General features: G+C 38.0%; 1 annotated feature.

Moving 5' to 3' along the window:
* Positions 3510–4152: an enhancer, noted in NCBI's record as "OCT4-NANOG-H3K27ac hESC enhancer chr6:80702927-80703569 (GRCh37/hg19 assembly coordinates)". NCBI's record gives its function as "activates a minimal SCP1, AML or CMV promoter by ChIP-STARR-seq in naive H9 embryonic stem cells {active_cell/tissue: H9 hESC(naive)}" and the evidence as "EXISTENCE:reporter gene assay evidence [ECO:0000049][PMID:30033119]".

Raw genomic sequence — 13008 nt, forward strand, 5'->3', positions numbered from 1 at the left:
TACTATTAAATTGACATACATTATTAAGGAACAAACATCATATAACCTAAAACATATGGCTTATAACTTCAACCACAATAACCAGCCTAGTCAGTCCTTTACACACTGCCCTTCTGTTCTCCTTACCCTACCACATGTGCACATAATGCAAAATTCTGTACTTCTTTGTTTCAACCCAACATGCTAGAAAAAAGACTATAAAACTCTGAGCGATGGTTTCCATTGGTGACTCTCCCCCATTGCATCCCCAGCTATAGGTTTTGGTGTGTCAGTCCTGACAGTCTGAAGGTGTTTACAAAATATCTTTGTGATAGTATTCAGTCCTTCATACAGTTCATGGCACAAGGAACTCCAGAAAAGTAGTGACTTGGCCAAGAACTACAGTGAGAAACTAAGTATCTGACCTCTAGGCCTTGGATCTTTTTCTAAGATCCAGAGTCAAGTGTGCAGAGACAGTGTAATGAGGGAACCTAACCTAGTACATCTTCTCTGAGGAAAAGATCTGAAACAGAGACTTGTTGAAGAACAAAGGGAACTAGAGGGCACTGGAGAATGAGGAAGATTATCCCAGGTGGAAGGAACTGTGTATAGAAAAGATGCCTGTTGGAGGAACCAGAAGTCCAGTGTAGCTACAGCATATGTGCTAAAACACAGTGAATAGCCTTGGAAGACTGCTGTAAAATGTAGCTCAAGAGGGAGGTAAGGACCAGATCATATAGCCTCATAGCCTGAATTAAGAATATCATGCTTAAAGAATAGGAAACCACCAAAGACTTTGTCTGATTTATCCCTTTTAAAAGATAATTTGAAAGCAAATAAGAGTAAATGTGAAAAGACAAATTGGAGAAGCATTGCTATCATTCTTGTTAGGAAGAGATTATGATGGCTTCATCAGAGTAATTACAGAGAAAAGGAGAAATGTATGTGGAGTCAAGGAACATAGGAAAATAAATTAAAATAACTCAGTATTAATTTAGGACCTCTCAAAAAGGGAGGAGTTTTGCGGATAGCATTAAAATCAGGACCAGAGGAGTACTTTTGAATTGTTTCCTTTTCAGGTTTGTTAGATTTCTGGTACATTCTTGGCCCATGCACAACATCTGCATAGTGCTTATCTATACATCTGCATAGTAGCTAATAAATATTATTTAGGAACAGTCAGCTCTCAGACACTAGACTTATTCTATTACTCTCCCTAGACATCCCTTGTTATAGACTGAATGTGTCTCCCCAAAATTCATATGTTGAAGCCCTAATCCCAATGTGCCTGTGTTTGGAGTTAAGACCTATAAGGAGGAAATTAAGACTAAATGAGGTCATAAGGATGGGGTGCTGGACAAAAGGACTAGTGATCTTACAAGAAGAAGAAGAGGCACCAGAGACATCTCTCACTTTCCACTGTGACACAGAAAGAGAAGGACTCATGAGGACATGGAAAGACTGGGAGGCTGAGGCAGGCAGATCACTTGAGGTCAGGAGTTCGAGACCAGCCTGACTAACATGGTGAAACCCCGTCTCTACTAAAAATACAAAAATTAGCAGGGTGTGGTGGCACGTGTCCGTAATCCCAGCTCCTTGGGAGGCTGAGGCAGGAGAATGGCTTGAACCCGGGAGGCGGAGGTTGCAGTAAGCCAAGATTGCGCCACTGCACTCTAGCTTGGGCAACAAGAGTGAAACTCCTCCTAAAAAAAAAAAAAAAAAAAAAAGATAGAAAAGAAAAGAAAGAAAGAGAAAGAAAAAGAAAGAAAGAAAAGAAAGAAAGAAAAAGAAAGAAAGAAAGAGAAAGAAAGAAAGAAAGAAAAAAGAAAGAAAGAAAGTTAGTTGCCATCTGCAGGCCAAGGAGAAAGGCCTTACCAAAAACTGGCCCTGCTGGCACCTTGACCTTGGGTTTCCAGCCTCCAGAACTGTGTGAAAATAAATTTCTGTTTTTTAAGCCACCCAGTCTGTAATATTTTGTTACGGTAGCTTGAGCTGACTAATACATATCTTTACCCCAAAGACATTTCTTCCCATGTCTATTTGGTTCATCTGAAATTTTGATTAGTCTAGGTAAACTAAGAAGGGTGATATAGGTTGAATGTCTGTCCTCTCCAAATCTCATGCTGAAATGTAATTCCCAATATTGGAGGTGAGGCATAGTGGGAAGTATTGGATCATGGGGGTGATCCTACATAAATGGCTTAGTGTCATACCCCTGGTGATGAGTGAGTTCTCGCTCAGTTAGTTCATGTGAGATCAGCTGTTTAAAAAGAGTCTGGAACCTCCCCCTTCTCTTGCTTATGCTCTTGCCATGTGACATGCTGGCTCCCCATCACCTTCTGCCATGATTGGAAATTTCCTGAGGCCCTCAGCAGAAACCGAGCAGATGCTGGCACCATGCTTTTCATGCAGCCTGCAGAACCATGAGCCAATTAAACCTCTTTCTTCTTTCTTTTATGTTGTTGTTGTTGTTGTTGAGACGAAGTCTTTCTCTGTCGCTCAGAATGCCACTTGGCATGATCTCGGCTAACTGCAACCTCCACCTCTTGGATTCAAGTGATTCTCTTGCCTCAGCCTCCCAAGCAGCCAGGACTACAGGCGTGTGCCACCACACCCTGCTATTTTTTTATTTTTAGTAGAGACGGGGTTTCACCATGTTAGCCAGGCTGGTCTCAAACTCCTGAGCTCAAGAAATCCATCTGCCTTGGCCTCACAAAGTGCTAGGATTACAGGTGTGAGCCACCGTGCCCGGCCCTCTTTTCTTTACAAATTACACAACCTCAAATATTCCTTTATAGCAATGCAAAAACAGCCTAACACAGAAAATTGGTACCAGGAGTGGAGTGTTGCTATAAAAATACCTGAAAATGTGGAAGTGGCTTTGGGACTGGACAACGAGCAGAGAGGTTGGAAGAGTTTGCAGGGCTCAGAAGAAGACACAAAGATGATGGAAAATTTTGAATTCTTAGAGACTGGTTAAATGATTGTGACCAAAATGCTGGTAGAGATAGGGATAGTGAAAACCAGGCTGAGGAGGTCTCAGATGGAAATGAGGAAGTTTTTGGAAACTGGAGTAAAGGTCACCCATGTTATGCCCTAGCAATGAACTTGGCTGCATTGTGTTCATGTCCTAGGGATCTGTGGAAGTTTGAACTTAATAGACTATTTGGCATAAGAAATTTCAAAGCAGCAAAATATTAAAGAGGTCACCGGGCTGCTTCTAGCAATTTATGATCAGGAGCAAATACAAGCAACCACAGGAGCAAAAAACAAGTGACTTAAAGCTGGAAATTACAGTTAAAAGGGAAGCAGAGGCCAGGCATGGTGGCTCACACCTGTAATCCCAGAACTTTGGGAAGCTGAGGAGGGCAGATTGCTTGAGCTCAAGGGTTTGAGAGCAGCCTGGGCAACACAGTGAAACCCCACCTCTACAAAAATACAAAAAAATAGCTGGGCATGGTGGTGCACCTGTGGTCCCATCTATTTAGGAGGCTGAGGCAGCAGGATTGCTTGAGCCCATGAGGAAGTGGCTGCAGAGAGCTGACATTGCACCACTACCCTCCAGCCTAGATGATGGAGCAAGACCCTGTCTCAAAAATAAAATAAAATAAAAAAAAATAAATAAATAAATAAAAGGGAAGCAGAGCATAAAAATTTGGAAAATTTGCAGCCTGGTCATGTGGCAGAGAAAGAAAAAGCATTTTCAGGTAAAGGAATCCAAGCAAGCTGTGGAGCAACCACTTGCTAGAGAGATTAGCATGACTAAAAAGGAGCCAAGTGCTACTATCCAATACAAAAGGAAAAAGGCTTCAAAGTCATTTCAGAAATCTTCAGAACAGTCCCTTTCATCACAGGTTCAGAGGCTGATATAGTTTGGATATTTTATCCCTGCCCAAATCTCATGTTGAATTGTAATCCCCAGTGCTAGAGGTGGAGCCTGGTGGGAGGTGTTTGGGTCATTGTGGGGGATCCCTCATGCTTGTTGCTATCTTTGCGATAGTTCCTGCAAGGTCCTGTCATTTAAAAGTATATGCACCTCCCTCCCGACACTCTCTCTCTTGCTCCTGCTTTTTCCCTGTGAGGTGTCTGCCCCTGCTTCACCTTCCATCATGAGTAAAAACTTCCTGAGGCCTCCCCAGTAGCAGATGCTGGCACTGTGTTTCCTGTACAGCCTGCTGAACTGTGAGCCAATTAAACCTCTGTTCCTATAAATTACCCAGTCTCAGGTATTTCTTTATAGCAATGCAAGAATGGACTAACACAGAGGCCTAGAAGGAAAAAATGTTTCAGGGGCCAGGGCCAGGGCACCATTGCCCTGCTCAGCTTCAGGATACTGCTCCCCACATCCCAGCCATGCTGGCTTCAGCCTCAGCTCAAAGGAACCCAGGTATAGCTCAGCCCACTACTCTGTAGGGCACAAGCTGTAAGCCTTTGCAGTTTCCACATGGTCTTAACTCTACAGGTATGCAGAATGCAAGAGTGAGGAAGGCTTGACAGCTACCACCTAGACTCCAGGGGATGTATCAGAAAGCCTGGGTGCCCAGACAGAAGCCTGCCACAGGGGCAGAGTCCCCACAGAGAAACTCTGCTAGGGTAATGTTAAGGGGAAATGTGGGGGTGGAACCCCCACACAGAGTCCCCACCAGGGAACTGCCTAGTGGAACTGTGGGAAGGGGGCTGCCGTACACCAGACCTCAGAATGGTAGAGCCACTGGCAGCTTGTATCCAAAGCCTGGAAAAGCTGCAGGTACTCAGCTCCATCAGAGTAGTTGTAGGTGGCTGCACTCTGCAAAGTCACAAGGTCAGAGCTGCCCAAAGCCTTGGGAGCCCATTCCTTGCACCAATGTGCCTGGATGTGAGACATGGAGTCAAAGGAGATTATTATGGAGCTTTAAGATGCAGTGTATTCCCTGTGGCATTTTAGACTTGTGTGGGGCCAGTTGCTTCTTTCTTTTGGCTGATTTCTCTCATTTGGAATGAGAATGTTTATACAATGTCTGTACCTCTATTTTGTCTTGAAAGTAAATAACTTGTTTTGATTTTACAGGCTCGTAGGTGGAAGGAGATTGTCCTTGAATCTCAGGTGAGAATTTGGATGCTGCACTTTTGATTGAGTTAATGCTGGAATTGCTGGAATGAGTTAAGACTTTTGGGGACTACTGAGAAGAGGATAATTGTATTTTCTGACATAAGAAGGACAAGAGACTTGGGGGACCAGAGGCAGAATGATATAGTTTGGATGTTTGTCTCCTCCAGATCTAATGTTGAAATGTGATACCTAATGTTGGAAGGGGGACCTAGTGGGAGGTATTAGATCATGGGGGCAGATATCTCATAAATGGCTTAGTGCCGTATCCTTGGTGATGAGTGAGTTCCTACTCAGTTCACATGAGATCTAGTTGTGTAACAGAGTCTGGGACCTGTCTGCTCTCTGTCTTTCTTCTGCTCCTTCCATGTGCCATTCTGGCTTCTCATTATTTTCCACCATGACTGTAAGCTTCCTGAGGCCTTCACTAGAAGCTGAACAGATGTTGGCACCATGCTTCTCATACAGCCTGTAGAACCGTGAGCCAATTAAACTTCTTTTCTTTATAAATTACCCAGCCTCAGGTATTCCTTTATAGCAATGCAAAACTGGGCTAATAATAAGGGATATCAACTTACCTCTTAAGAGAGTACATCGTGGGAGAGCATTTTAATTTACATTTTTATTTTCTATTTCTCTGTCTTGTTTTACTTTTGGTCCTCTTATCCAGATCTGTGACCTGGGGGCATGAAGAATGTAGAAATGGTGACAGTGGTGTGCAGTTAGAGGACTTATTCTAATGATTAGGCAAATTATTTCAATGAGATCTCATTTCTTCACTCTGTAGTTTTTGGCAGAGATGTTTTGTTTATTAGCTACTCTGAACTATCTGGGGACCTGTCTTGATAGCTCGTTCCTTGAAATGTGTCAAAAACTATTTCTCTCTGATGGTTAATCATAGAGAAATAATGTCTATTTTCACATCTATCTAAAGAATTGTGATATAAAATCTAGGATTAAACTTTAAAGCATTTTATCTAGACTTCCAGCAGACATACTCACTTCTGATGAGTTTCCACTCTAGATCCATGTCTGAGAATACTTTCAAAATGTACCCGAGATCAGAGATCAAAGGCCATTTACTCACATAACCAAACACTCTGAAGTCTGTTTTCAGAGACCTGTGCCATGTTAGGTGTTTCTGATTTTAGTGTTTTAGTAATGATAGCACGATATATCTTTTTCCTTATTTTATTTCTATCCTATTTGTGCCTTCATATTTAAAAAGGGTTTGGTGAAGGCAGTGGATAGTTGAAGCTTGCTTTTTTATACATCTGAAAATCTCTACCATTTTCTGGGAGTTTTGATCATGTACATTAATGTGATTATTAATATAGTTGGATTTAAATCTACCGTTTTGCTATCTTTTTTCCATTTTCCTATCTGTTCTTGTTTACTTTTTTCCTCTTTCTCTGCTTCATTAGTATTAAATGAATATTTTTTGTTTTCTGTCTTTTGTTCACTTAGTAGCTGTGTTTTTTTTTGTTTGTTTGTTGGCTTTTACTTGTGTTTGTTTGATTTTAGTGGCTACTTTAGGGTTTCTAGTAACACTGTCCAATAGATACATAATGTGAGCCACATATGTAATTTATATGTTTTCTAATAGCCACACTTTTTAAAAGTTAAAAGAAGCAGGTGAAATTAAAAGTAATATTCCCAAATTATTGTAATTTCAATTAATAATAATAATATTAATAATTTGCAACAGTATATAAATATTAATGGTAAATTTTATTCTTTTTACACTATGTCTTTGAAATCTGGTGTGTATTCTATACTTACAGCACATTCATTTTGGACCAATTACATTTCAAGGGCTCAAGAGCTACATGTGGCTAGTTACCATGATAGAGAATGGAGGTTTATAGAGTTCACCTTTAACTTATCACAAGTAATATACCAATTTATGTAGAGTAGAAAGAAACCTTAAATAATATTCTTTCATTTTCCTCCTCCCAGCACTGGTGTGAGTGTTGTCATGTTTTACTTCTCTATATGTTATAAACCTGACAGTACATTGTTATCATCTTTTGCTTTAGTTATCTCTTAAAGAGATTTCAAAAATAAGAAAAATATCTTTTTACATATCCACATATTTACCATTTCCAGTATTCTTTATTCTTTTATGTAGATTCAGAATTTTTCTGCCTGAAGGCTTCCTTTAATAATTTTTGTGGTGCCATTCTACTGGTGATGAATTATTTCAGCTTTTGTATGTCTGAAAAAAAATCTTTATTTTCCCTTCATAATGAACAATATTTTTGCTGGAAATAACAATTCTAGGTTTATAGAATTATTTTTTCTTTTTCTTTCAGCATTTTAACCCTTTTCCTGTTTGCCCCAAGAATACATGCCTGTAGCTGCTGTGTTTACCCTGAGATAAATTTGCCACAAAATATCTCACTTTTATTATTTTTGCATCATTCTAGTACATTGACTTTGGAAACAAAGACATCATTCTACTTACAACATTCTGGGCCAGGTGAGGTGGCTCACACCTGTAATCCCAATACTTTGGGAGGCTAAGGCAGGCAGATCACTTGAGGTCAGGAGTTCGAGAACAGCCTAAAAATACAAAATTAGCCAGGCATGGTGGCACACACCTGTAATCCCAACTACTTGAGAGGCTGAGGCAGGAGAATTGTTTGAACCTGGGAGGCAGATATTGCAGTGAGCCGAGATCGCACCACTGCACTCCAGCTTGGGCAACAGAGAAAGACCCTGTCTCAAAAAAATAAAAAATAAATAAAATAATAACAGTATTACAATATTCTGTTTTTAGTACTGGTGTTTTGTATTTCCATTTACAAAACATAGTAATTCTCAATTGCTGAAAATGTCAAATCCTATAAAACACAGCATTTCTACGTGTGATGTTAACATCATTCTCAAACAGTTGTTGGCTGAAGATTGATTTGATGAATCCAATTTTTTCAAAACTGACAATACTGATGATTCAGACAATTCTGATGTTAGTTACGTTTAGAAATAACTCCAAGAGCAGTTTTTAGATTTTATTTTCACATTGAAAATCAGTCAGATTTGCTTCAGCCTCAAAAAGCATGTTTATGTAAAATTAAATGAGTGATGGCAGGCAACTGTAGTTTTTTTTCCTAAATGGGAAAAGGGTTAAAGATGTCACTCCATTGTTGCCCAGCTTACATTGTTTCTGGCAAGAAGTCTACTGTTCTTATGATTGTTCATCTATATCTAATTTGTACTTTTCCTCTGGTTGCTTTTAATATTTTCTCTTTATCATTAGTTTTGTCCAATGTAATAATGTGCACAGGTGTTGTTTTCATGAAGTTTTTTGTGTTTAGAATCTGTTGAACTTCTTCAATTTGTTTGTTTATGGTTTTCAACATATTTAAACAAATTTTGGCCATTTTTTCTTCAAATATATTCTTCAATTCTCCCTTCTTTCTTGTGAAAACTCCAATCACATGTACATTATGCCACATTGTTTTTCCACAACTCACTGAAGTTCTTTGTATTTTTGTTTCTTTGCTTCTCTGTGCCTTATTTTGCATAGTTTATTATTGATATGTTTTCAAGTTTAGGATATTTTGTTTTCCAGACTGTAATCTGCTATTAATCCTATCCAATATAATTTTTATTGCAGGTATTGCATTTTTCATCTCTATACATTTGTTTTTGGTCTTCTCATATATTCCATATTTCTTTTTAACATGTTTACACTTTCCTCTACTTTCTGGAACATATGGAATACAGTTATAATTACTGTTTGTCTATTAGTGGGTAATCTGTGCCACTTCTGCATCTGTTTTAATTGACTGATTTCCACCCCCACTTCCTCATTTAGATTTACATTTTCCTGCTTTAAGTGCCTAGTAATTTTTTAATTAGATGCCAGACATTGTAAATTTGACCCAGTTGGATTTTCTCATATTTCTATAAATACTGATCCTTTTAAGGTTTGCTCTTAAGCTTTTATAGACTGGGCCATTGCATGCTGTAGGGCTAATTTTGCTCCAGTTCTAAGGCAATATCATGAGTCTTCTACTTGTTGCTTTGTGAACAAAAACTATTTCTTGTCCTTTATGAGCTCTTGACATTATTCCCTTTTATTCTTTCCCCTGGTTGTTATCTTCCTCTGGTCTTGTGATAGTTTCCACATACACTTGCACTTACCAATACAGAGCTGGAGACTCAAGGACATTCTCTGCAGATTTCCAGAATTCTCTCTCTGTTCTGCTCTTTTTCTCTGGTACGCTGTCCTGTGAACTTCACCTGCCTTGGCCATTCCAGACTATGAACTCCATCTTCCTAACTTTAGAATACCAGGCAATGCCTGGGTTCTCCCTTTGTACACTGAAGCTTGGAAACTCTCACCAGTAAGTAATCTGGAGGCAACATTATGACTCACTTGTTTGTTTCACTATTCTTAAGGATCACTGTACTGTATTGCCTGATGTCTGATGCTTGAAAACCATTATTTCATTTATTTTGTATAGTTTTTGTTGTTACTGTTGTTTCAGAGAATAAATCTGAACCATGTTTCTTCATCTTGGCTAGACTCTAACTGTGTATTTGATAATTTTATTATTTTTAGAAATCTAAATGTACAGACTTACATTTATCTCTATAAATTGCATATTATCAACTTTGTCCTTTTAAAGTATCTTCTAATTTTGTCTTTTTTTAATTCATATGAAAAGTTAAGCATTATTTTTATATGTTTGTGACACAGATAAGATATGTAGTTTAGAATAAAACCACAGACAGAGTTCTGAGACCTTCTACTAGGGATCAACCTGAAGTTCTCAAACTATTAACAAGTGATCTTGGAGAAAAATGATCCAGAGTTGCAGAAATACTTCACATTAACCATATGGGAATTACTTGCTCCTTTCTTCCACAAAAGCAGTAAGAGAGCCTTTATCATTTTATTTGCCAAAGTTAAGATAGTCTGTATTTATGGCCTTCCCTTTTCTAAATATACAAACAATCAAAATCAGAACTTAGTATATTCTATATAGCCTGCTCTTAATGCATTTACATTGGCTTCTAGAGATCTTTGCTTCCAAACAGTTCGGTAATTGATCCCAGAAGGGGTCTAAAATTCTAAAATCTACATTGAGATTATAGAGATTAATAGCTTCCAAATTCTACCTTTTCCAAAAAGGTAACACTTGTCCATCCATTTCTGGCTTTCTATCATTGCTTCTACTTATTATGACTTTTCAGAGATTGCCAGCAATGTTTCTGGGATTATATTTGCACGTTTTTTTTCAATATCCTGCTTATTTTCTTCAGGATATTGTGGTATATTAACCAACTACGTGAGGCTCTCTCTATATAGCAGAGACTGAAAATGTATGGAGATATATATATATATATATATATATATTTTTTTTTTTTTTTTTTTTGAGACAGAGTTTCGCCCTTATTGCCCAGGCTGGAGTGCAATGGCGAGATCTTGGCTCACCACAACCTCTGCCTCCCAGTTTCAAGTGATTCTCCTGCCTCAGCCTTCCGTGTAGCTGGGATTACAGGCATGCACCAGCACGCCTGGCTAATTTTGTATTTTTAGTAGAGACGGGGTTTCTCCATGTTGGTCAGGCTGGTCTCGAACTCCTGACCTCAGGTGATCTGCCCCGCCTCAGCCTCCCAAAGTGCTAGGATTACAGGCATGAGCCACTGCACCCAACCTGGATACATTTAAAAAAAAATTATGGCCAGGTGTGATGGTAATCACAGACCATCACAATGCTTCCCTGCACTTTGGGAGGCCGAGGCAGGTGCATTGCTTGAGCTCAGGAGTTTGAGACCAGCCTGGGCAACATGGCAAAACCCTGTCTCTACAAAAAATACAACAATTAGTCGGGTGTTGTGGCATGAACCTGTAGTACTAGTTACTTGGGAGTCTCAGGTGGAAGGATGGCTTGAGCTCAGGAGGTAGAAGTTGCAGTGAACCAAGATCACACCACTGCACTCCAGCCTGGGTGACAAAGCCAGAGCCTATCTCTCTCTCTCACACACACACACACACACACATACATACACACACACTTCATTTGTGTCAGAGAGTTTGGATGGAATTTAAATGTCTTTCTTATATAGCCTGTCCTGTATTTATTTTTAAGATTGTCAGTCTGACTGCTATTCTTCATATTGGAGAAAAAAGAAAAATAGGAACTGAGAATCCTACTTTTCTTCTGCTGTTTGTTAGCATAGTTTATTGCCTGCATGATTAAATAATACCTGATGTCCAAGTAGTGGTCCTAACTCGTCACTGCTGTTTTCCTTTGTAGAACATAATCTAAGCTGTCATTGCTGTTTTTCTTTGTGATCTATGAGGTACGTTGGTACCTCTCCTTGGCATTATTTTCTTTTCTTTTGGGTATGGCTTGGTCCATTCTGTGATAGTTAGCTTTCCTGACAGTATTCATACAGGTCTCAACATTCTTATGGGCTCACGTCACTCCTAAATGCACTAAAATCAGCATACACTAGTAATGTTTTATCCAGAATAAACCACCATAAAGCAGCACACAACTGATTGCATGCTGTAAGAACTGGATTTATTATTGATCAGAAATTTAACTTTTGTATATGCACAAAATAAATTCATGTATAATAATTAGTTTCTAAAATCAAAGTTTGGGCCTTACTGAGCTTGTGTAACAATGACCTCAATAATTGAAAAAAAAATTCCTTGGAGGGGATTTAAATAAATAAGTAAATAAATAATGGAATAAAAAAGGCAGCTGTGCTGACAGAGAAGTCAAAGATCAGCAAAAAAGTTTCATGATGATAATGACAAAGTTAAACATTCGAAACTTTTGTTTATGTGACAAAAATGTGAAACTTACCATCTTACAATAAGTCATAATCTTATGGCTAATTTTATTGCTTTGTGAAAGGCTTGACTCTGAAAATGAACAAGTTTATTCACTGTCAGATGCAGCTGATTTAAAGCCAAATGAGAAACTGTGATGCAAGAAGTATACAAATGTGTTAAATAAAATAGGATTCTTAAATACTCTAATGGTTGTAAATATTAGTATTTAGCTAACATTTATTAAGTGCCTACAAATGTACCAGGCACTGTTCTAAGCACTAAGGATGCTGTAATGAACAAAGTAGACAAAAATTCCTGTATTATGGAGTTTACATTCTAGTGGGGGTAAAGTTTGGAGAGTCAGAAAATAAACAAGATAAATAAATAGGTCAAATAGGTAAAACTGTAGGATTTTACAGATCACCGCTGTCCAGTGGAAACACAATGTAAGCTATATATGTAATTTTCAATTTCCTACTAGCCATATTAAAGTATAAAAAGAAACAGGTGAAATTAAATTTTCATAAACTTTTTATTTTTGAATAATTTTTAATTTACAAAAAAATTCCAAGTGTATTAAATAGTACAGTGAATTGCTGTATACTGTTCATTGTTTTTCTGTTAAGATCTCGCATTACTGTGATGCATTTTTCAAAACCAAGAAACCAACATTAGTGCATTTTCATTAACTAAACCTCAGACTTTATTTGAATTTTACTAATTTTTCAATTAATGTCATCCTCCTGTTTCAGGATCCAGTTTATGATATCACAGTGCATTTAGTTGTCATGTCTTCTTAGTCTCCTCTGTGATGGGGTGGTATTAATTTTAATAATATATTTTATTTAACTCAATATAGCAAAAATATCATTTTAACCTGTAATTGATATTTTTAAAATTATCAATGTTTATTACTTTTTCTTATTCAGTCTTCAAAATCCAGAGTGTATTTTATACTTAACAGTACATCACATTTCATACTCAGACACTTTCACTGGAAATACTTCATCTGCATTTGGTTCTCACAAAATTTACAGTTGAAAAAGTAGGTTCATATACTTACATTGTTCCAAGTATACTTAAAAGTCTTCCAATAAATTCATGACTAATGCAAGTTTAGAAAAAAGAAAGCAAAAAA

This window comes from Homo sapiens, chromosome 6, assembly GCF_000001405.40.
Source record: "Homo sapiens chromosome 6, GRCh38.p14 Primary Assembly".
In the NCBI taxonomy this organism is placed as follows: Eukaryota; Metazoa; Chordata; class Mammalia; order Primates; family Hominidae; genus Homo; species Homo sapiens.